The 22,680-nt window shown below is 39.2% G+C and overlaps 1 protein-coding gene across 4 annotated transcripts in view, besides 1 other annotated feature; it reads right to left on the bottom strand.

The window, feature by feature from the left end:
* Nucleotides 1-22,680, bottom strand: part of GRK3 (G protein-coupled receptor kinase 3) — a 164,620-nt gene that overhangs the window by 110,554 nt on the left and 31,386 nt on the right. For all 4 annotated transcript variants that reach the window (NM_005160.4, NM_001362778.2, XM_047441167.1 and 1 more), the window contains exon 2: nucleotides 14,288-14,364. In NM_005160.4, the coding sequence (NP_005151.2) occupies nucleotides 14,288-14,364 (77 nt within the window). The remainder of the gene's footprint in view (nucleotides 1-14,287; nucleotides 14,365-22,680) is intronic.
* Nucleotides 12,424-12,924: an enhancer, noted in NCBI's record as "H3K27ac hESC enhancer chr22:26001784-26002284 (GRCh37/hg19 assembly coordinates)". NCBI's record gives its function as "activates a minimal SCP1, AML or CMV promoter by ChIP-STARR-seq in primed H9 embryonic stem cells {active_cell/tissue: H9 hESC(primed)}" and the evidence as "EXISTENCE:reporter gene assay evidence [ECO:0000049][PMID:30033119]".

The following is a 22,680-nucleotide window of genomic DNA, read 5'->3' as shown; positions in this document are numbered from 1 at the left end:
ACCAAAAAAAAAAAAAAATGAAGAGGTACAGCTAATAAGCCAGTGTGGCAATAACCTAACATACCAAAGTATATTCAATTCAAAAGACAACAGGAAAAGGAGAAAAAAGAACAAACAGAAAACAGTTAGAAGGATGGGAGACTTCACTCCAACTGTTTTGATAACTAATTGTAAATGATCTAAACATTCTAATGAAATAACAGGGATTGTTAGTCTGGGTTTAAAAAGCAGTCTCAAGCAGATTCTGCCTGTAACAAACACACTTTAAATAGAGACACTTTGAAATCAAAGAATGGAGAAGAGATGTACCATGCAAACACTAACATCAGAAAGCTGGAGTGACTAAATCAATATTAGACAAAGTAGACACCAGAGCAATATATTGCCAGGATAAAAGACATTTCACTGTGATATAAATAAGTCAACTCCTCAAAAAGACATCGCAAACGTAATGTGTGTGCACCTATCAGACACGATCCAGCAATTCCTCTTCCAGGTATTTACCAAAGAGAAATGATAGTGTATGTTCACAGGGCTTGTGCAGAAATGCCTGTGGCAGCTTTATTCATATTTGCCCCACACTGGAAACAATTCCAGTGTCCACAGATAAGTGAACTGTGTTAAATGCACGTAAAATAATATTCAGCAAAAAAAAGAAACAAAATCCTGGCTGGGCATGTTGGCTCACGCCTGTAATCCCAGCACTTTGGGAGGCCAAGGCAGGTGGATCACCTGAGGTCAGGAGTTCAAGACCAGCCTGGCCAACATGGCGAAACCTCATCTCTACTAAAAATACATTAGCCAGGCGTGGTGGCAAGTGCCTGTAGTCCCAGCTACTCAGGAGGCTGAGGTACGAGAATCGCTTGAACCCAGGAGGCAGAGGTTGCATGGAGCCGAGATCAAGCCATTGCACTCCAGCCTGGGCAACAAAGTGAGACTCCATCTCAAAAAAAAAGAAAAGCAATCCTGATAACAGGAGCCACAATATGGAAGAATCTCAAGAATATTATGCTGAGCCACATAAATCAGACACAAAAGAGCATGTACTGTTTGAATCCATTTATATGAAGTTCTAGAAAAGGTGAATGTAATCTATTGTGACTGAAAGCAGATCAGTGGCTGCCCAGGGCTGGGGTGGGTTGAACCCAAAGGGCAAGACTATGCTTTCTGAAGTTATGGAAATGCATATTATGGAAATGCATATTTACATCAATTAAATTGTTTTAAAAAGTAAGAATACAAGTACAGAGCACATTTATTAGTAAACGAGAAAAAAATAACATTGGATTCTTGTATTTGGTACCTCATGAATAGGAAATCGGGTATATTCTGAAAATAAACTAAAAGGCAACACTGAGAGAAAGGGCCAAAATCACTATTCCCAGCAAGCTATTCCATTTCAAGTTCTTTTCTGTCACCAATTCGGAACTCAACTGCTGGCTGAAAAGCAGAAGCCAAAAACAACTAATTTCAATCTTCTTAAATAGCCATAATTTTAAGACAAGGAAATGAATTCCTAAAGAGCAAATTCCAAAGGCTGACAATGATTTAAACTAAAAAAATATATATTTCTTTGGAGAGTAAGTGCATCGTATAAGGTAAGAATATGTGCTTCTTTAAAAAGTTGTCCTAGTTTCTCTTTTTGTGCTCCAATGTTATAAACAGACTCTCTGGGGGCCTAGAAGGACTCTCTCTGTCCCAGCTGGGATTTCACTCCTGATTCACACCCGTAAGAATCTTCTCTGTTCATCTAGCAAAAAGCTATCAGCCTCAGGACAAAGCTCTTAGCTTAATGCTGACCTCAAAGCACCAGCTAGAATGCAAAGGAGGTGTGACAATACTCCAGCAAATGGCCCACTGTGCAAATCAAGTTACTTTAATTCCAAGAGGCATAAACAACATCATCGCCCTACAGTCTCAACCTCTTATCAAAACCTCTCCTTTATCTTTAGACCTGAGGACAAGTGTCCCCAGCAAACCACTTCTCCCCACAACCCTTTTTTGTACTGCAACATAATTTCTTACAAATCTATTGACTCTATCTTCAAAACTGGGAATTCCATGACTTCTCTCTACTTCCACGGCAACCCCAATGGTCTAAAGGCCAGCATCGTCTCTCACAGCCTTTAGCTTTCTAAGAGGTCTCTGAAATGTTTTGGATGTATGTCCATGCCCAAATCCCATGTTGAATTATAATCCCCAATGTTGAAGGAGGGGCCTGGTGGAAGGTGACTGGGTCATGGGCACGGATTTCCTCCTTGCTGTTCTCATGAGAGTGAGTTGCCACAAGATCTGATGGTTTAACAGCGTGTGGCACCTCGCCTCTCTCTCTTTCTCTCTCTCTCTCTCTCTCCCTCCCTCTCTCTCCTGCCGCCATGTGAAGAAGGTGCTTGCATCCCCTTTGCCTTCTGCCATGACTGTAAGTTTCCTGAGGCCTCCCAGTCATGCTTCCTCTTAGGCCTGTGGAAATGTGAGTCAATTAAACCTCTTTTCTTCATAAGTTACTCAGTCTCAAGCAGTCCTTTACAGCAGTGTGAGACAGGACTAACACAACCTCCCTGGCCCATGCCTCCCCATCGGCCAGACTGATCCAGGAGCACTTGAGTCAGATTATGCCATCCCAACTCTCAAACTTCCCTATGTCCCACCTCACTCTGGGTAAGAGCAGAAACCCTCACAAGGGCCTCAAGGGCCTGGCCACTCTCCACCCTCACCCCAACTCCCACTGTACTCCCTGCCCTGCAGCCCCCTGGCCTCCTTGCTGTGCCTCAACCCTGAGGTTCCAGCCTTAGGGTCTTTGCCCTGCTCAACACTTCACCTGGGTACTCTTCCCCCAGATAAATCCACAGGGGCTCGGCCCCTCCTCTCCCAGAGGACTTTGCTCAATTGTCCTTATGAATGGCACCTTCTTAAAACACCCTGTTTAAAGCCACCATGTGCACGAGCACTCCCTGCCTCTCTTCGCAGCTCTTCTACCCTCCTTGAGATTTACCCCCTTGTGGACAGTATGTATTTGTGGATCTTTCTCCCCCGAGAAGGAGGAGTTAACTCCATAAGGGTGTGGATTTCTGCTTTTGTTCCCTAAGGGATTCCCCAGTGCTTAGGAGAAAGGTATGGCACATAGTTAAATTTATTAAACGAACAACTGAATGTTGAGCAACAAGTTTCAAACAAAGCTTAACCATCACCCCCACAGCACATCTCTGTATTTCCTGGTTTTAACTTTGACTAGAAGTAGAAATACTAAAATAAATCAAAGACAAGGTGTAAAACCATCAGAAAAGCTATCTCCAAAAAAATCTAAAACCAGAAGATATTATGACAATGCAGCACCACCTTGAATTTCAAAACCAATTGAGGGCTCTTAAAATCCTAAAACAGCCCCATCGTCCCCCACTGTCAGTTCAAAAAGTTTACAGAGAACTTTTCCAGCAGAGGTGCTGTTTCATAGGTCCTTGGCATTCTCTAGCAACATAAATTAAGATCCCACATTTGCTAATATTGACAGAGCATATAATTTTTTTTTCCGAAAATACGTGGACACTGGCAGAGAGAGAGCTACAAAGTTGAGTTTAGCTGCAGAGGCTGGCTGATCAGCAAGGCTTACCTCTTGGCTAAGAGAATAACTTCCCCACGTTTGCTTTAGGATTTAAATTCGTGCCTCAGGAAAATGACCAGTAGGCTCTTCTGGGAATCTCAGGGGCTGCTTGGCGATAGTAAACACACTTAACAACTGTTCAGTACTGGAATGTCAGAGGTCTGTGCACTTCCACACACATTTTGCTGTCCATCTTTTGCAGGGTGAGCTGGTTAGGGATGGGAGCCTTCTGTCTTAGTCTTCTCCATGTGCCTTTTTGTTTAAAGAGACATTCCCAGTGAAGGACTCAAATATATTTGATTGAATGTCCCCTTCAGCAAAGCACATAAAGTAGACCAGCTACAGAGAGATCTTTGTGCACAGCTGCCAAATCCTGGATTTTAGTATTATTATATAGGAAATAAAAATTATACAGTTGATATGTCATTTTTTTAAAGAACTTCATATGCATGCTAATTTCCACACTAAATTTTGCTGGTTATAGGCAGAAAAAGCACATGACTTCCAACTCTGGCTCTGCCACCTGGGAGTTGTGCAAGCTTGATCATATTTTACCAGCACATAAAATACTCACTGAAGTGTCTAGTACACAGGTAGCATCACTGTCTTAAACTAATAGTAAATCCAATTATGGACTAATAGTATTCCAATCACACACTCAGAAGAGCTCTGGGAAAATTAAGCAGTAAAAATTTAGCAGATAATAGATGGCCGAGCACAGTGGCTCACACCTATAATCCCGACACTTTGGGAGGCTGAGGTGGGTGGATCTCTTGAGCCCAGGAGTCCAAGATCAGCCTGGGCAACATGGCAAATCCTTATCTCTACAAAAAATACAAAAATTAGCCAGGCATGTTGGCGCATGCCTGTGCCTGTAGTCCTAGCTACTCGGGAGGCTGAGGCAGGAGGACTGCTTGAGCCCAGGAGGTTGAGGCTGCAGTGAGCTGAGAGTGTACCACTGCATTCCAGCCTGGGCCACAGAATGAGACCCGTCTCAAAAAATAAATAAATAACATTAAAAAAAAGATAATACATTTGCTAGCTGGCAAATCAGTGCTCCTATAGTTTCTAGTGATTAGTAGATATTAAAGGATTGTGCTTTTCCAGTAAAATGTAGCTTTTCTGAATTTTTTTTTGGGTGGGGCGATGATAATTATGGCTGGTCTTTGAACTTGAATGATAATTTTAAGAAGGAAAACCAGCCCTACTAAGCTGGGTTTAAAAAAAAAAAAAGAAGACAACCAAATTTTCCCATAGAACTGGTTTAGCCTTTTTCTCCTCTTTTTATCCTTTTTAACCCAAAATGCTCAGATGTCCCAAATGTTCAGAGCTGCAGAGGCTGCACTGCGGGGGCATGTGGCGGCTCCCAGCCCAGGCAGACTCCAGCACCAGGAGCTGATGCCCAGACTTGTTTAGTCCAACACAGGTGATGAAGTCAGCTGAAAAGAAGACGGACTTGCCAGTAGGTTTGTAAGAAACAGCTTTTCCTCTACCCTAGTGTCTTTCCTCTCTGGGCAGCATTTTTATTAGGAAACCCAAGTTGAAACTGTGCAGAGGCTGTGACCCTAAGTCCCCCAGGCTCCCGTTACTGCCTGAACCCGGCCACTGCACTGCCTCTTCAACAGAAAATCCAATTCGCTGTGCTTAGTCCACTGTTGGTCTCTGCTGTTTGAAAGTTTACGTGCCTCTTTAACTCTTTCCCTCAGGAAAAGTCTCCACAAAGGCATGGATAATGGATGCAGAATTGAATAGGGCCCCAGGTTTTTCTTCTCTGAGGCTGTGGTTGCTCTGGCTAGAGAACTCTTACAGATAAGGCAGGGTGGGAACTGACTGTGTCACTGTCAATCAGGGGATCTGTCAGGGGAGGCCCTTCACTGTGACAGAAACAAACACTTCCAAACAAAGGTAGGAACACAGAGGAAAACAAAGTTGAAGTTGGTTCCCAGGATAACAGTTCCCTCTCTACAACCTTATGCAAGACGGCTCTATTTGCTGTAATTTAACCTCAACTTTTGAATCCAAAGCTGCTGACTTATACATGTTTTCAGCTTTTAACCATCTATGTTATATTTTAGATATTAAACATGTCAAGCAATAATTTTACAAATGATGAAATCGAGTGGCAAGTTTATTCATTGAAACTGACAAAAAAGTGATCCTAAAATGTTTTAGTTTGTTTTTTAGTATTTTGGGGTTTTTTTTAATAATTACCAAATTTTTAAAATAAGCATCTGTGGTCTATCTACATCCATCTTTATTATTATAGAAACTGCTCAGATTTTTTTTTTTTTTAACTTTTAGAGGTAGTAGTTTCTGTTTTTATCAATGTATTCTTTTTATAATGAAACATACACTTTGCTTTCAAAGCCCACAGCAAGTACATTTCTTATGCCTTGGCCCTAAATGTCAAATATAATTTATGTATTATTTCTAGGTAAATGTTCTTTGATATCATGCTAAATATGTTTGAGACCAACTTAAAAAACATTTAAGAAATTAAAGTGAAAAGTAAAAACTGAAAGGAAATAAAAGACACCAGACTGGAAACAAAGAAGTAAAACTCTTTTTATTCAGATAGGATTCAATACATAAAAAATTCTAAGGAATACACACACACACACAAACACACACACACATGCAGACATACCTTACTAGAACTGATAAACTAATTCAGGAAGATCACTGGATACAAGATCACTACAAAAAAACTCATTCTATTTCCATGTACTTGCAATGAACAACCAAAATTAAAATAAATAAAACAATTCCATTCACAATAGCATCAAAAAGATTAAAATACTTGGGAACAAATTTAATGAGAAACACAAAATCGGATATCCACATGCAAAAAAGATAGATTTAGACCTTGCTTTACACCACAGACAAAAATATACTCAAATTCGACCACAGACCAAGATATAAGAGCTAAAACAATAAAACTACTAGAAGAAAAACAGAAGAAAACCTTTGCAAATTTGTTAGGCAAAAAGCTCTTAAATATGACACTAAAGGCCGGGCTTGGTGGCTCACACCTGTAATCCTAGCACTTTGGGAGGCCGAGGCGGGTGGATTGCCTGAGCTCAAGAGATCGTGACCAGCCTGGGCCATGTGGTGAAAACCCGTCTCTACTGAAATATAAAAAATTAGCTGGGTGTGGTGGTGTGCTCCTGTAATCCCAGCTACTCTGGAGGCTGAGACAGGAGAATCACTTGAACCTGGTAGGTGGAGGTTTCAGTGAGCCCAGATTGCACCACTGTACTCCAGCCTGAGTGACAGAGTGAGACTCCATCTCAAAAAAAAAAAAAAAAAAAGACACTAAACTATGAGTCATAAAAGAAAAAAATGTATAAATTGGACTTCAAAAATAAAACCTGTGCTTCAAAAGTCACCATTAGGAAAATGAAAGAGACTGGATTCCAGCCACCAACCAGAAGAAAACATTTGTAAATCATACATAAACAACAAATAACATAAAGACAATCCAAATTTCAGGATGGGTAAAAGATTTAAGTAGACATTTTACTAAAGAAGATATACAAATAACTAATTAGCACAAACATGTTTAATATCATTAACTACTGGAGAATCACAAATCAAGACCACAACAAGATACCACTTCCTATCCATTCAAATGGATACAAAAAAGACGGGTAACAACAAGTATTGGTGAGGATATAGTAAACCTGGAATGCTCATAAATTGATGGTGGGAATGTAAAACAGTACAGCCACTTTGAAAAGCAATTTGGTAATTTCTTAAAAAGTTAAACACAAATTTGCCATACAACCCAGCAATTCCACTCCTAGGTAAAGACTCAAGAGAAATGAAAACATATGTCCATAAAATACTTGTACACAAATGTTTATGGTAGCATTGCTCTATAAACAAGCAAAAAGTGGCAATAACTGCTCTATAAACAGGCAAAAAGTGGAAATAATCCAAATGCCCATCAACTGCTGAATGAAGTGAGTGTGCTCTGTAGGCCGGACACCGTGGCTCATGCCTGTAATCCCGGCACTTTGGGAGACTGAGGTGAGTAGATGGCTTGAGGTCAGGAGTTCGAGACCAGCCTGGGCAACATAGTGAGACCTTGTCTCTACTAAAAATACAAAAATTAGCTGGGTGTGGTGGCATGCACCTGTAATCCCAGCTACTCAGGAGGCTGAGGCACGAGAATCATTTGAACCCAGGAGGCGGAGGTTGCAGTGAACAGAGATCGAGCTACTGCACTCCAGCTTGGGTAGCACAGCAAGGCTCTATCTCAAAACAAAAAACAAAAAAAAAGTGTGCTCTGTCCATAATATGGAATGCTATTTAGCAACAAAAAGGAATGAAGTACAGATACACACAACGACATGGATTAACTTCAGAAACCTTATGCTAAGTTAAAGAAGCCAGATGCAAGAGACTACAGACTTTATACCGTATAATTCCATTTTTATGAAATGTCTAGAAAAGGCAGATAGAAACAGACAGATGAGTGTTTGTCTGGGGCTGAGGATGGGAGCAGAGTAACGACAAATGGGCAGGAGGGATCTTTTGGAGGCATGGAAATGTTTTTAAATTGTATTGTGGTGACGGGGGCACAACTGTAGAAATTTACCAAAATCATCACATAATACATTTACAATGGGTGAATGGTATATAGTAGTTTTGCATTTTGAGAGTTGTTTTTTGAGACAGAGTCTCGTTCTTTTGCCCAAGCTGGACAGCCGTGATGCGATCACGACTCACTAAGGCCTCGAAATCCAAGGCTTAAGAAACCCTCCCACCTCAGCCTCCTGAGTAGCTGGGACTACAGGTATGCAGCACCACATCCAGCTAATTTTATTCTTAAATTTCTATACAGATAGGGTCTCACTGTGTTGCCCAGGCTGGTCTCAAACGTCTGGCCTCAAGTGATCCTCCTGCCTCAGACTTCCAAAGTGTTGGGATTACAGGTATGAGCCACCACACCTGGACAAGTCATTTTTTAAAAAGTAAAAATTGCAGGGCTGGGTGAGGTGGCTCACGCCTGTAATCCCAGCACTTTGGGAGGCCGAGGTGGGTGGATCACAAGGTCAAGAGTTTGAGACTAGCCTGGCCAACATGGTGAAACCCTGTGTCTCCTTAAAAAAAAATACAAAAATTAGCCAGGCATGGTGGCGTGTGCCTGTAATCCCAGCTACTCGGGAGGCTGAGGCAGGAGATGTGATTGAACTGGGAAGGCAGAGATGGCAGTGAGCCAAAATCGCACCACTGCACCCCAGCCTGGGTGACAGAGCAAGACTCTGTCTCAAAAAAAAAAAAAAAAAAAAGTAAAAATTGCAAAGTTTTTGTGTCTATATATCAGACACCAAATTATTTCACACAAATTGAAAAAGATTACTATTCAAACTGGGGATTGAGTTCTGAAGCCAGTATTATAAAATGAAATGCCTTTAATGGCAGTATGTGATATAATATTATATTACCACGTTCTTTATACATGAGAATGACATTTACATACTTCATGTATTAAGTATCGATTTGGGGGCTGGGCACATTGGCTCAAGCCTGTAATCACAGCACTTTGGGAGGCCCAGGCGGGCAGATCACAAGGTCAGGAGCTTGAGACCAGCCTGGCCAACGTGGCAAAACCCCATCTCTACTAAAAATACAAAAATTAGCTGGGCATGGTGGCACATGACTGTAATCCCAGCTACTTGGGAGGCTGAGGCAAGAGCATTGCTTGAACCTGTGAGGCAGAGGTTGCAGTGAGCCAAGATTGTACCACTGTACTCCAGCCTGGGCAACAGGGCAAGACTGTCTTAAAAAAAAAAAAAAAGGATCTGTTTTGGAGTCTTCTTATAGTTTCAAACATGCTCCTCTAACAGGAGTGAACTTGCAGACAGAGAAGCTAAGTAGATTGTCCACAGACAGATGGACTTTATCAAATGCCATGTGCCTCACTTCATATGATGAAATTACAATTTCAATGTATCTTAAAGAAGAAAAATAGTCACAAAAGAATCTTAACTATAACTGATACAATGATTTTCCTGTCTATTCAATAACCAGTATCCCCTTAAAACCAAACATACTGTGTCAATGTCTAAATGTGTAAGTTTTACTGGCAGCAAGTTAGGGATCAACTTAATATTTCTTAAGATAAAATTTCTATATAAGGATAAGGATAAAAGTAACTGGCACATAACCCCTTTATTCTGAATAGTGGCAATTAAAAACAACAAATGGAGATTTCGCCTGCTGTATTAGTTTTCTCATGTGTCAAAAGTCACCAGAAACTTAGTGACTGGAAAACAACACCCACGTATCATCTCACAGTTCTATAGGTCAGAAGTGTGAGTGGGTTCCACTGGATTCTCTGCTTAGGGTCTCACCAGGACAAATTCAAGGTGTCGGTCAGCCCGGGTTCTTATCTACAGGCTCCAAGTAGGAATCTGCCTCCAAACCCATTCCAGTTATGGATGGAATTCTGTGCTTTGTGGTTTGGGATGGAGGTGGCTGTTTCCTCGCTGCTGCCAGCCAGGGCCACTCTCAGCTCCTAGTGAGCACCCACACGCCCTCCATCTGCAGAGCTAGCAACAGTGTGGAATCTTTCCTGAGCTTCATATCTTTCTGACTTCCTCCTTGCTGCTGGCCTGAGGAAACTCTGCTTTTAAAGAGCACATGTGAGTAGATTAAGCCCACTCGGACAATCATCTTAATTCCACCTGCAGAATCTCTTTTAGCCATGTTACGCATGGGGGCAACACCACGAGGCAAGGGTCATGAGGCTGCACCATGAACACGTACCTTTCTAATTAAAATATATTTAAAGGCAACTAAATATCCTCCCATTGAGGAATAAAAGTAATCAATGCAGAAGGAATCTTGTATTTAGAAAACTCACCATTTTGTAACTCCCTAATAAACTTCATTCTTTGTTTTTAATTGCCACTATTAAGAAGAAAGGGGTTAAGTGCCAGCTACTTTTATCCTCATCCTTATATAGAAATTATGTGTCTTAACATTAGTTAAGTTGATCCCTAATAAAATAACTGATTTAGACAATGATTGTCAATGAGAAACTGACACCGACCACATCTGAGCCCACTTTAGAGACCTGACTACAGAGACCCTAAATGGCATGTGCCTCCTGCTACGACGTACACAGCACCACCTATAAAGTGCTCCTACCAAAAAGCAGCTGAAGCTAAACCTCATTAAGCTGTTAGAGCAAAGTCTCAGTTTACAGGAAATGTAGGAAACAGAAGTACAATTTAAATGATACCATTAAAGGCCGGGCATGGTGGCTCACGCTTGTAATCCTAGCACTTTGGGAGGCTGAGGTGGGCAGATCACTTGAGACCAGGAGTTTGAGACCAGCCTGGCCAACATAGTGAAACCGTGTCTCTACTGAAAAAAAAAAAAAAAATTAGCTGGGTATGGTGGTGCACACCTGTAATCCCAGCCACTCAGGAGGCTGAGGCACAACAACTGCTTGAACCTGGGAGGCAGAAGTTGCAGTGAGCAGAGATTGTGCCACTGCACTCCAGCCTGAGTGACAGAGCAAGACTCTGTCCCAAAAAATAAATAAATAAAAATTTTTTAAATGATACCATTAAGAAGCAGACAGAAAAGCCCAGAACGTGGAACATTCTACAACACACAGGACCCAATTTCTTCGGTAAGTTAATTACCTGTGCATGTGCTGGCGGGGGCAATGTGGGGGAACTGGTCTAGATTACAAGAAATATTATCATCAATTACAATACAAGAACAGTATTTGAATACTGATTCAAACCAAGAGTAAAAAAAAAAACATTTTTAAGTTAATCAGAGAAATTTGACAATAAACTCGGTATTAGAGTACACTAAGAATCATGATAAATTTCACGTTTGGGATAAAGGTACTGCGGCTGTATAAGAAAGCATGCATACTTTTTAGAGATGCATATAGCACAAAACGCTGTGACTGCTTTGTTAATTCAGTAACCACAAAAAAAGACGGGATGGGAAAACAAAGTATAGCAAAATGGTGAAATGTATCAAATCTAGGTGATGTAAATATATATATATACACACACACACACAAACACATACATATACATACATATGGGGTTAATTATTCTAGTCTACTTTTCTGTGTGTTGAAAATTTTTAACATAAACAATTTGCTTCTATTCACTGAGCATCTGCTGAGAGCCAATTGTCGTGTTAAGGGCTTCATGTGTATTACCAGCTAAACCCTCTCAACAGCCTCACGGACCTGAACTATTATTATCCCTACTTTTATAGATAAAAATTAATGAAATAACAACCACTTCAGGGTGTAGCCAAACAATCTCCCAGTTCGGCAATGCCTCAGAGGCCAAGTAAATTAAAGACTTCTATGGTTTTCATTTTGAAAACATTTTTACCAATTGCCTACAGCACACATTGGAGGGCAGTTCCCAAGCCCTGTGGTGATCCTGTGTGTCGGGGACCTTGGGAGGTAAGGAAAGAGGGAAAAGGAACAGATGGGTAGGCAGACAGAGGGTGAAACAAAACAAGAGGACCAGCAAAACAATGAGGGGAGAGGGAAGGAAAGATGGAGAAGGGAAAGAGTAGGGCAGGAACGCATGGAGTCAGTGATGGAAGGCGCAAACGGAACCTGGAAAAGGAAGACCTGGAGTGTCAGACACATTTACTCCCACCATGGCCCACCTTCCACTCTCCCCCAATGCCTGAGACCAGGCAGAAAGTGAGACTACTACAGAGAAAAACGGGGAGCAGGCCAACAACACTAGACAGCTCCGTCAAAACGTAATTACAGATGGTGGTGTGCGCTCTCCCTAAGCCTCCGATCAGCTGCTCTTCTTTCCTGTGACCATGACCTTCCCAAGCTCAAACTCAGCTTCTCCTGACCAGATCCAAGGTCACGAATTGAAGGGAACAGAAGAAATTATTTATTTAAACAATGTTTAACAGCTTCAGATAAAATGCACAGCCCATCAGCGCCCAGTGAGACTGCTCTCAGAGAACAATCCGTGCAACTGAGATACTCAGCCACACTAATGCCATTGGGAGCTCAGGTCAGAGTCTCCCGGTGCCAGGGTCAGTTAAGGTTTTAATCCAGGCTATGGAAAATACATGTTTGGGGGGCTGTATGTATGTTTGCGGGGACTGTAGACAGGAAAGGAGCTACAGAAGGGAGAGAGAACAGAAAACACAAAAGAAGAATCCTGGATGCATTTCAGAAACTGGAATGAGAGCTGAAGGGAAAGCAGGCTGAAGTTCTGATCCATACAACCACCAGAACGAACCTTGAAGGCCTTATGCTGAAGAAGCCCAGTGCAAAAGGACACACAGTGTGTGATTCCCTTCATGTGGCGTGTCCAACACAAGCAAATCCATGGAGGCAGAAACTCAATTCGTGGTTGCCGGGAGCTGAGGGAGGGTAGAAGGCAGAAGGACTGCTAATGGGTACAAGTTCTTTTTGGGGTGATAAAAACATTCTAAAATTAGGCAGTGCAGATGGTTGTATGACGGTGAATACACAAAAAGTCACTCAACTGTTTACTTTCAATGTGTGGATTGTATGCTATGTGAAATATACCTCAATAAATCCACAAAAAATAAATTAAAAAAATTTTTAACTAGCAAATAAAAAGATAATTCCTTTTTCCCTCCACTCTCAGAGATACAGAGTTTCTCTCTCTTGTTATCATGAGTTTTATTTTGTTTTTTAGCACAAAATCAGAAGCAAAGGAGAACATCTGTGTAGCTTATAGTAACCACACACCATGAAAGTAATGAGAAGCCGTAAGAACTAACAAAATGAAAGCCAAACTCTTTTAACTTATCTGTTCCCCAACCAACTCCTGAGGAGCAGGATGAAATATCTCTATATGGCAAAGACCAATCACTTTCCACACAGTGCTCAGGCACAGACAGACCAATGTCATCTGCTTCTCCAAACCACTCCGTCCACCTTTTCCCCACTGTACTTCATGCGTGATCAAAGAAACTGTATCTACCAAAGAACCTCTTCACAGACAGGCTAATTTTCGTAAAACAGATAAAGTGGTTTACAAAAATCCAAAGATTTCTGCACCAGCTTCTACTGGTAACTATTTTATTATTTACTGGTTAATATTTTATTATCGGAGTAAAGAAGAAGGAGAACTGGGAATCAGAACAAGTCACTCCACCTCCCTGTGTCTACATCTCCTCATCAGCAAACAAAAGGGCAAGCCCAGAATTATCTCGAAGAATACGCAGTCTTAAAGGGATCTATCAGTCTATGTCTATTAATCATGGAAACAGAGCACAAATTGAGTTCTAGGGAACTTTAATTTCTTGGAATTTTCATAAAGTAATTTCCTCCAGCCATAAAATAATTTTAAAGCTATTACACACAGCTCCCCAGCAAACCACCTCAGTAACCACGAGGCAGGCAAGACGCAAAGAAAAGAAAGGAATATCCTATTCTCTTACATTCAGCAACGCTGAGTTCATGTAAAAATCCTAGAATTACCCATTTCCCAAGAGCTTAATCATAGAATATGTTACTAGGAATGTAAGTCATCATTAAATACCTTATTAATTACATGAAATTTCCTTTATTCCCAGCCACAGCTATAGAGGATATAAAGCACTAGGGGGTGCATTCATATATTACTATAGTATCGCCCAATTTCATCACTAAAATTACCGTATGCCAAATGAACAAGCAGGACTTACCAATTTTCTGATTGAAAATCTTGTCAAAGGTTATTTCATTTCTCTCTGCAAGGTACTTCTGCATCACACTCCGGATACTGGAAGGGAAGAGTGACACATTTTTAACAATACAGCCTACATCGTGAGTAACCATCCCCAGGATGGAAGAGATACGGATGTCTTGACTTCATATCAGCTTTACAAGAGACCCTTCTTGCCACAACTGCGTGAAATGCAGACCAGCCTAAAAGCCAGAAACTTCATGGCCTTAGCCACCATCCCCTCCTGCAACACAGGGCCAACCTTAACACGCAGAAACTCAACTGCAGAAAATAACTTCAGGGTTTTGAAAACCCACCCTCAATATATCTGCTCTCCAAAATATTCACAAATGTGTCTGCACGCACAAACACATGCACACAGCACACACCCTACACGTACACACCACACATGCCTGTGCCCCCCCACCACAAATTCTGCTCATCAATAAATGAGCTTCTTTCTAAAACAAGTGCAAAAGTTCCCTAGATATATTAATATTTTTAAAATCATATTTCTATACTGCAACAATACAGCACAAAACATAATTAAAAGACTTAGCTTGCAATAAAATAAAAAACATCAAATACTTTGAAATTATTCTTTCAAAATATGTGCAAGAACTTGATGGGAAAAATTACAAATTGTATTGGGAGACATTAAAGAGGATCTAAATAAATAGGAAGATATACCACAGTGATAAACAGAGAAATTTAATACTGTAAAAGTTTGAAGTCTACCCAAATTTATCTATGACATCAATATAATCCCCATTAACATTCCAATAGGGTTTTTCATAGAACATAGAAATAAATAAGCTATTTCTAAAATTTATACAAAAAATACAGGATCAATAATAGCCAAAACACTTCTGAAGAAAGAGAATAAAGATACTGGGGCTTATTACAAAGTTAAAATAATAAAGACAGGATAAACAAACTAATCAAGGAAATGGAAGACAGTGCAGAAACTGAACCACACATACATTCAACTTTGACATATAATAGAAGTAGCAAGTCAGAAAAATGGGGAAAGGATGGATTATTCAGTAACTGAACCCCAAAAGTGATTATCCAAATGGAAAAAGTAGAAAATTGAATCTCTATTATCCACTGATGGTGGGAGTGAACAATAATTTAGCATTACTTTTTTTTTTACTTTTTAAAACAAATTGAGGCAAATTTATATACAATTAAATGCACACTTAAAGTATATTGTTAGGTAGGCGAGGTGCCTCACGCCTGTAATCCCACCACTTTGGGAGGCCGAGGCGAGTGAATCATCTGAGGTCAGGAGTTCAAGACCATTCTGGCCCACATGGTAAAACCCCGCCTCTACTAAAAATACAAAAATTAGCTGGGTGTGGTTGTGCGTGTCTGTAGTCCCAGCTACTAGAGAGGCTGAGGCAGGAGAATCACTTGAACCCAGGAGGCAGATGTTGCAGTGACCCAAGATTGTGCTACTGCACTCCAGCTTGGGGGACAGAATGAGACTCTGTCTCCAAAAACAAAAAGAAAGTATATTGTTAAATGTGCTTTTGACAAACATATACACCTATGTAACTACTATCTTAAGATACAGGATATTTCCATTGCCCCAAAAAGCACCCCTTTAAAATCAATCTCCCCATATTCTAGAATCCAGGCAACTATTGACCTGCTTTCTAATAACATAGATTCATGCTCCAGTTCTAGAATTTTATATAAAATAAAATTACACACTATGTTGTCTGTTGTGTCTGGCTTCTTTTGTTTGACATGAGACAGCTTCATCCATATTGCTATGTGCATAAGTATTTCGTTCCTTTCTAATGCCAAACAGCATGCCATTGTATGAATATTCCACAATTTGTTTACCCAGCCATCTGTTGACAGACATTTGGGTTGTTTCTATAAATAAAGGTGCTTTAAATATCTATGTATAAGTCTTTTTATGGGCATGCGTTTTCATTTTTCACAGGTAAACACCAGGAAGTGAAATTGTTGGTCATATGGAAAATCATATTTAACATTATTAAAAACTGATGAACTATATTACAAACTGGTTCTACCATTTTACAATCCCACCAACAATGTATGATAGTTCCAGTTGTTCCACATCCTTGTCAACACTTGGGTTGTAAGTCTTTTTAAATTTTGGCCACTCTGTTGGGTGTGTAGTAGTATTTTATTGTACTTTGTATTTTAATTTGCATTTCCCTAATGAATAATGACGTTGAGCATGTTTGTACATGATTATTGGAATCCTCCTCTCTTCTTTTTAGAGGTGTGTAGACAAATGTTTTTTCTACCTTTTAATTGAGTTGTATTATTCAGTTGTACAACTTCTTTATTTAGTCCAGAAATAAGTCCTATGTCAGATTTATGTGATGCTAAGATTTTCTCCCAGTGAGCACCTCAGCTCTTCATTTTCTTCAGGGAGTCCTTCTTAGAGCAGAGGTGCTTAGTTGATGAGTTCCAATTTATTGACATTTCTTTGATGGACAGTCTGTCCTAAGAAGTCTTTCATGCCTCAAGGTCATGAAGACTGTAAGCTATATTTTCTTTCACAAGTTTAAAAGTTTTCGCTTTTGTGTAAACACAAATATGGTCTAATATCCATTTCAGGTTAATTTTTGTGTAGAGTACAAGGTAGAAATCAAAGTTCTTTTTTTTCTGTATAATATTTCATTGTTCTGGTATTACTTGTTGAAAAGACTTCCTTCTTTCTTTTTCTCCATTAAATTATCTTGGCACCTTTGTTGGTTCAACACTAAGTATGTGCAGGTCTATCTCTGGACCATCCTGTTGCATTGATCTGTACATCTATCCTTATGTACACATTGTATTGTCTTCATTGCTTCTTTTCTAACTTAAGAAGTTGGATCAATGAATTTAAATTATTTCTAATGTAACCATTTAAAATTATAAAATTCCCTCTAGGCATCGATTTAACTGCATCTCACAGATATTGATATATTCTACTTTCATTTTCATCCTATTCTAATTATCTTCTAATTTCCCTTGAGATTTCTTCCTTGACCTATGAGTAATTTAGAAATGTGTTGCTTCATTTCCAAATACTTGGAGATTTCCAGTTATCTTTCTGTTATTAAATTTTACTTTAATTCTTTCATGGTCAGAAAACACACTTTGAATAACTCAGTTCTTTTATGATTTGTTGATATGTGTTTTATTGCCTAGAATATGATCTACTGTTTTGAGTAGTTCACGTACACTTAAAGGGAATGTGTATGCTGCTGTTGGATAGACTGATTCATAAACACCAACTGGGTCAAGTTGGTTGATAGTGTTGCTTAGATTTTTCTATATCCTTATGGATTTTCTGTCTACTTTTTCTATAAATTACTGAGAGAGGAGTGTTGAAACCGTCAACTAAAATTGTGAATCTATTTCTCTTTTCAATTCTGTTTTTGTTTTATGTTTTACTGCTCTGTTGTTAAGTACATGAATATTTAAGAACAATGTTGTGCTTCCATGGTGAAATAACCCCATGATCATTATGAAATACACCTTTTTAATGCCTGTTTATAATCTTTGTTAAGTCTATTTTATCAGATATTAATCAAGTCATTCCAGCTTTCTTTTGGTTAGTGCTTATACAGTATTATATTTGTCTATCTTTTTACCTTTAAGGATTTATATCTTCACATTTAAAATAAGTTTCCAGTTTACAACAGATAGTCATCCGTTGGTATACAAGCCATGAGTTCTATCTAGGACCCGCCTCGGATCCCAAAATCCTAGGATGCTCAAGTCCCTTATATAAAATGGGGTAGTATCTACAGAGCACTTATGCACATCCTCCTGAATAGTTTAAATCATCTCTAGATTACTTATAAGACCTAATGCAATGTAAATGCTATGTAAATAGTTGTTATACTGTATTGGTTTTTATTTGTATTTTTACTGTTGTATTGTTATTTCTCATTGTTTCTTTCTTTCCAAATATTTTGAGGCGTAGTTGGTTGAATACCCAGATGCAACCTGCAGACATGGCCAGGCACGGCGGCTCACACCTGTAATCCCAGCACTTTGGGAGGCCGAGGCAGGTGGATCACCTGAGGTCAGACGTTCCAGACCAGCATGGACAACATGGTGAAACCCTGTCTTTACTACAAATACAAAAATTAGCAGTGGCGGTTGCCTGTAATCCCAGCTACTCAGGAGGCTGAGGCAGGAGAATCATTTGAACCTGGGAGGCGGACGTTGCAGTGAGCCGAGATCATGCCACTGCACTGCAGCCTGGGTGACAGAGCAAGACTCCATCTCAAAAAAAAAAAAAAAAACCCTGCAGATATGGACAGCTGACTGTAACCCACAGATATGGGCAGCTGACTGTATAGCTGGATCTTGCTTTTTCACCCTACCTGATGATCTCTTTTAATTGAAGTACTTAAAGAATCTGCATACTTCTGTTAGGTAGATACAGGTAAGTGAATTAGCTAGATCATATGGTAAATATGTTTTAGTATGACTTTTTTAAAAACTGCCAAACCACCTTCTGTTGTGGCTATACCTTTCAGATTCCCATCAGCAACACAGAATTCCTGTTTCTCCTTGAACATACTTATTTTCTGAGTTTTTATTTTAGCCATTTTGGTGGGTGTGAAGTAGCATCGCACTGTGGTTTTAATTTGCATTTCCCTAATGAGTAATAATAAGCATTTTTTCATGTGCTTATTAGCTATTCATGTATCTTCTGTAGTGAACTGGCTATTCAAATATTTGGCCAATTTGAGGAGGACTGGTATCTTAATATTCATAGAGTTCTTTATATGTTCTGGATACAAGTTATTTATTATATATGTGATTTTCTTTTTTCTTTTCTTTTTTTTTTTTTTTGAGACAGAGTCTCGCTCTGTCACCTAGGCTGGAGTGCAGTGGCATGATCTCGGCTCACTGCAAGCTCCGCCTCCCGGGTTCACATCATTCTCCTGCCTCAGCCTCCCGAGTAGCTGAGACTATAGGCACCCGCCACCACGCCCGGCTAATATTTTGTATTTTTAGTAGAGACGGGGTTTCACCATGTTAGCCAAGATGGTCTTGATCTCCTGACCTCGTGATCTGCCCACCTCAGCCTCCCAAAATGCTGGGATTACAGGCATGAGCCACTGCACCTGGCATATATGTGATTTTCAAATATTTTCTCAGAGTCTATAATTTGTCTTTGCACTTGCTTAGTGGTGTCTTTAAAGGACAAGTTTTAAATTTTTGATTAAACCCAATTTATCAATATTTTTCTTTAATGGTGTCATAGCTAAGAATTCTTTGCCTAACCCAAGGTCACAAAAACTTTTTCTTATGCTTTCTTCCAGAAGTGTTATAGTTTTAGCTCACAAATGCAGATTTATGATCAATTTTGAGTTATTCTGGGAGTATGGTAGGAGATAAATATCTAAGGGATTTTGGTTTGTTTTTGTCTTTGTTTTTGCATATGGACATTCAATTTTTCTAGCATCATTTTGTTGAAATTCCTATCATTTCCCCCACTAAATTGTCTTGGCATTTTTTCAAAAATCAATTACTGTAAATGTGAGGATTTCTCCCCTCCATATTCTGCTCCATTATCTATGTTCTTTATGCCAGTGTAGCACCATGTTGATGACAACAGCTCTACAGGAAGTGGTCAAACCAGTCTAAGTTCTCTCTGTTCTGTTTTCAAAATTGTGTTGCCTATTCTGCTTGGATTTCAAAAGGGACTGCAGTAAATCTATAGATCAATATGGATCAATATGGGAAGAATTGCCACCTTTTTGTTTTTCGCACAGGGTCTCTCTGTTGCCCAGGCTGGAGTATAGTGATGAGATCATGGCTCACTGCAGCCTTGGCCTACTGGGCTCAAGCAATTCTCTCACCTCAGACTCTCAAGTAGCTGGGAAGAGAGGTGCATGCCACTGTGCCCAGCTAATTTTTAAAATTTTTTTTGTAGAGACAGGGTCTCACCATGTTGCCCAGGCTGGTCTTGAACTCCTGGGCTCAAGTGATCCTCCCGGCTCAGACTCCCAAAGTGCTGGGATACAGGCGTGAGCCACCAAGCCAGGACCAGAACTGCCATCTTAATAACACTGAACCTGCTTTTGTCTGTATTTTGTTCCTGTTTTCCTCTTTTCTTGCCTTCTTCTTATGATTCAATTTTTATCTCCCCTCCTAGATTATTTTAACTCTTTTCTTTCTTTTTTTCCTTAGGGGTTGCTCTAGGGTTTACAATACACATTTTTACTTACCATAGTCTACCTCTAAATAACATTTTACATTTCCATGTCCTGTCTATGATTTGTGCTATTATTGTCATATGCTTTATTCCTACATGTTCTAAATCTCATAATATATTTGCATTGTTTTGGCTTTAGACATGCAATGTCTTTACATTCGATGGCTTTTACATTACTGCAGGTACTCTATATTTCTTTGTGGAGATCCAAATGTCACCTGGTACCATACACCTTCTGCCCAACACACTTCCTCCATCTCTTGTAGTGCAGGTTAACTAGCAATGAATTTTCCCAGCTCTTGTTTGTCTAAAAAGTCTTTGTTTTGCCTTTAGTTTTGAAAGATATTGTTATTGGGTATAGGATCCCAGGTTGGCAGGTTTGTTTTGTTTTCTCTCAGCACTTGATGTCACTCCACTGTCTTCTGCGTGCATAGGTTATATAAGAATTGTGCTATAATTTTTATCTTTATTCCTCTGTACATACATTTTGTTTTAATCCGGCTGCCTTTCTTTATCTAGCTTCTTTAAGAATTTCTCTTTATTGTTGGTCAGTAGTTTAACTATAATGCATCTAGAGGTATGCTTTCTCTCCCTACCTTTACCCTGCTTGGGGTTCTCTGAACATTTTTTTAACTTTGTTAACTGACACATAATAATTGTACATATTCATGGGGCGCACTGTGATATTTTGATACATACGATGCATAGTGATCAGATCAGGGTAATTAGCATACCCATTATCTCAAACATTTGTCATTTCTTTGTGATGGGAACATTCAATGTTCTCCTTCCAGCTATTTGAAATTATGTATTATTGTTAACTATAGTAATCCTACAGTGCTATAGAACATTAGAATGTATTTCTCTTATCTAGCTGTAATTTTATATCCTTTAACAAATTTCTTCCTTCCCCACCCTTTCTCCTACCCTTCCCAACTTTCTATCTTTCACTGATTTTGGAAAATTCTCAGCCATTTTCTCTGCATATTTTTTTAGTCGGCTCTTTCTCTTCTCTTTCTGATATTTCACTTACTCACATGTTAGAACATTTGATATTGTCCCACAACTTTCAGACACAGAGCATGAGACCCTAATTATAAATCCAAAACTAAAAATATAATCTATAGAAATACATGTATGTAATAAAACCATACATTTCTGAAAGGCAGGGAAGTGTGTAATGTGTAATTCATAATGAGTGGCTGCCTACAGGGAGAAGGAGGAAAGGAAACACAAGGCCAGGAGATGGAATGGGGAAGGAACTCACAGTAGAAGGAAATTATTCTCAGTATCCTTGTTCTCATGCTGGTACTATAAGTGCTTATAATATTATTTAAAATGAATTAATGAATGATTCAATGCCTACAAAATAAAGAAGGCCATGCATAAATTAATAATGAGAGAGTATCATGAATCAAGTGCCATGATTAGTTAAATTCTGTGAATATAAGTCCAGCACTTGAGCCATGGTAAGTATCAAGTAAATTATGAGTCTCAATAAAGATATGAATGAAGAGGAAGGGTTTATTTTTCAAACAAGTTACAAGACATGCTAAGACTCTGCCAGGGATGGCCTATCACTAATTGTAACAGTGCATAGAATAGCCAGTTGCTTGCCCCTGCATTTAATTATACCTAGCTATGAGAAGTCACTCATAGTACTCTCCTGTCTCAAAGTTCTGAGGGAATAAATCAAATGATAATTTTAAATTTTTTTGAAATTGCTAATTTATTAACATTTTCAAATAGATGTTTAAAATGCAAGTAATATAAAAGTAAAAACTAGATATTAAAATGTTCTTCATCTCTCACTTTTCATATTGTCAAATATTTTCTTGATTGAAGCAGAATAGTTCAATTGAGTCTAAACTCTATTCATAGATCACATTACTTCTTTTTGAAGAACAGCAATCTTTTTCTTTAGTAAATTAAAAGCCCTCATTTATTTGATTCATCCAACATTTCATGAATGACAACTGGTTTTTCACCTACCTACCCACGACTCTCATTTTTCCCCATGAATACTCTTGAAGAAGTGTTCCAGAAGCATTCTAAAACAATCAACAAATTTAGCAATGTACTACCTATTCCATTCTGACTTTCCAGTTTTTCCATACAATTCCTACCATGATATGATTTTTACTCTTCCCTTCTTGTAGAGG

Source organism: Homo sapiens, chromosome 22 (genome assembly GCF_000001405.40).
Source record: "Homo sapiens chromosome 22, GRCh38.p14 Primary Assembly".
In the NCBI taxonomy this organism is placed as follows: Eukaryota; Metazoa; Chordata; class Mammalia; order Primates; family Hominidae; genus Homo; species Homo sapiens.
Note: the sequence above shows the minus strand (reverse complement) of the source record. Positions and strands in the feature narration are given on the sequence as shown.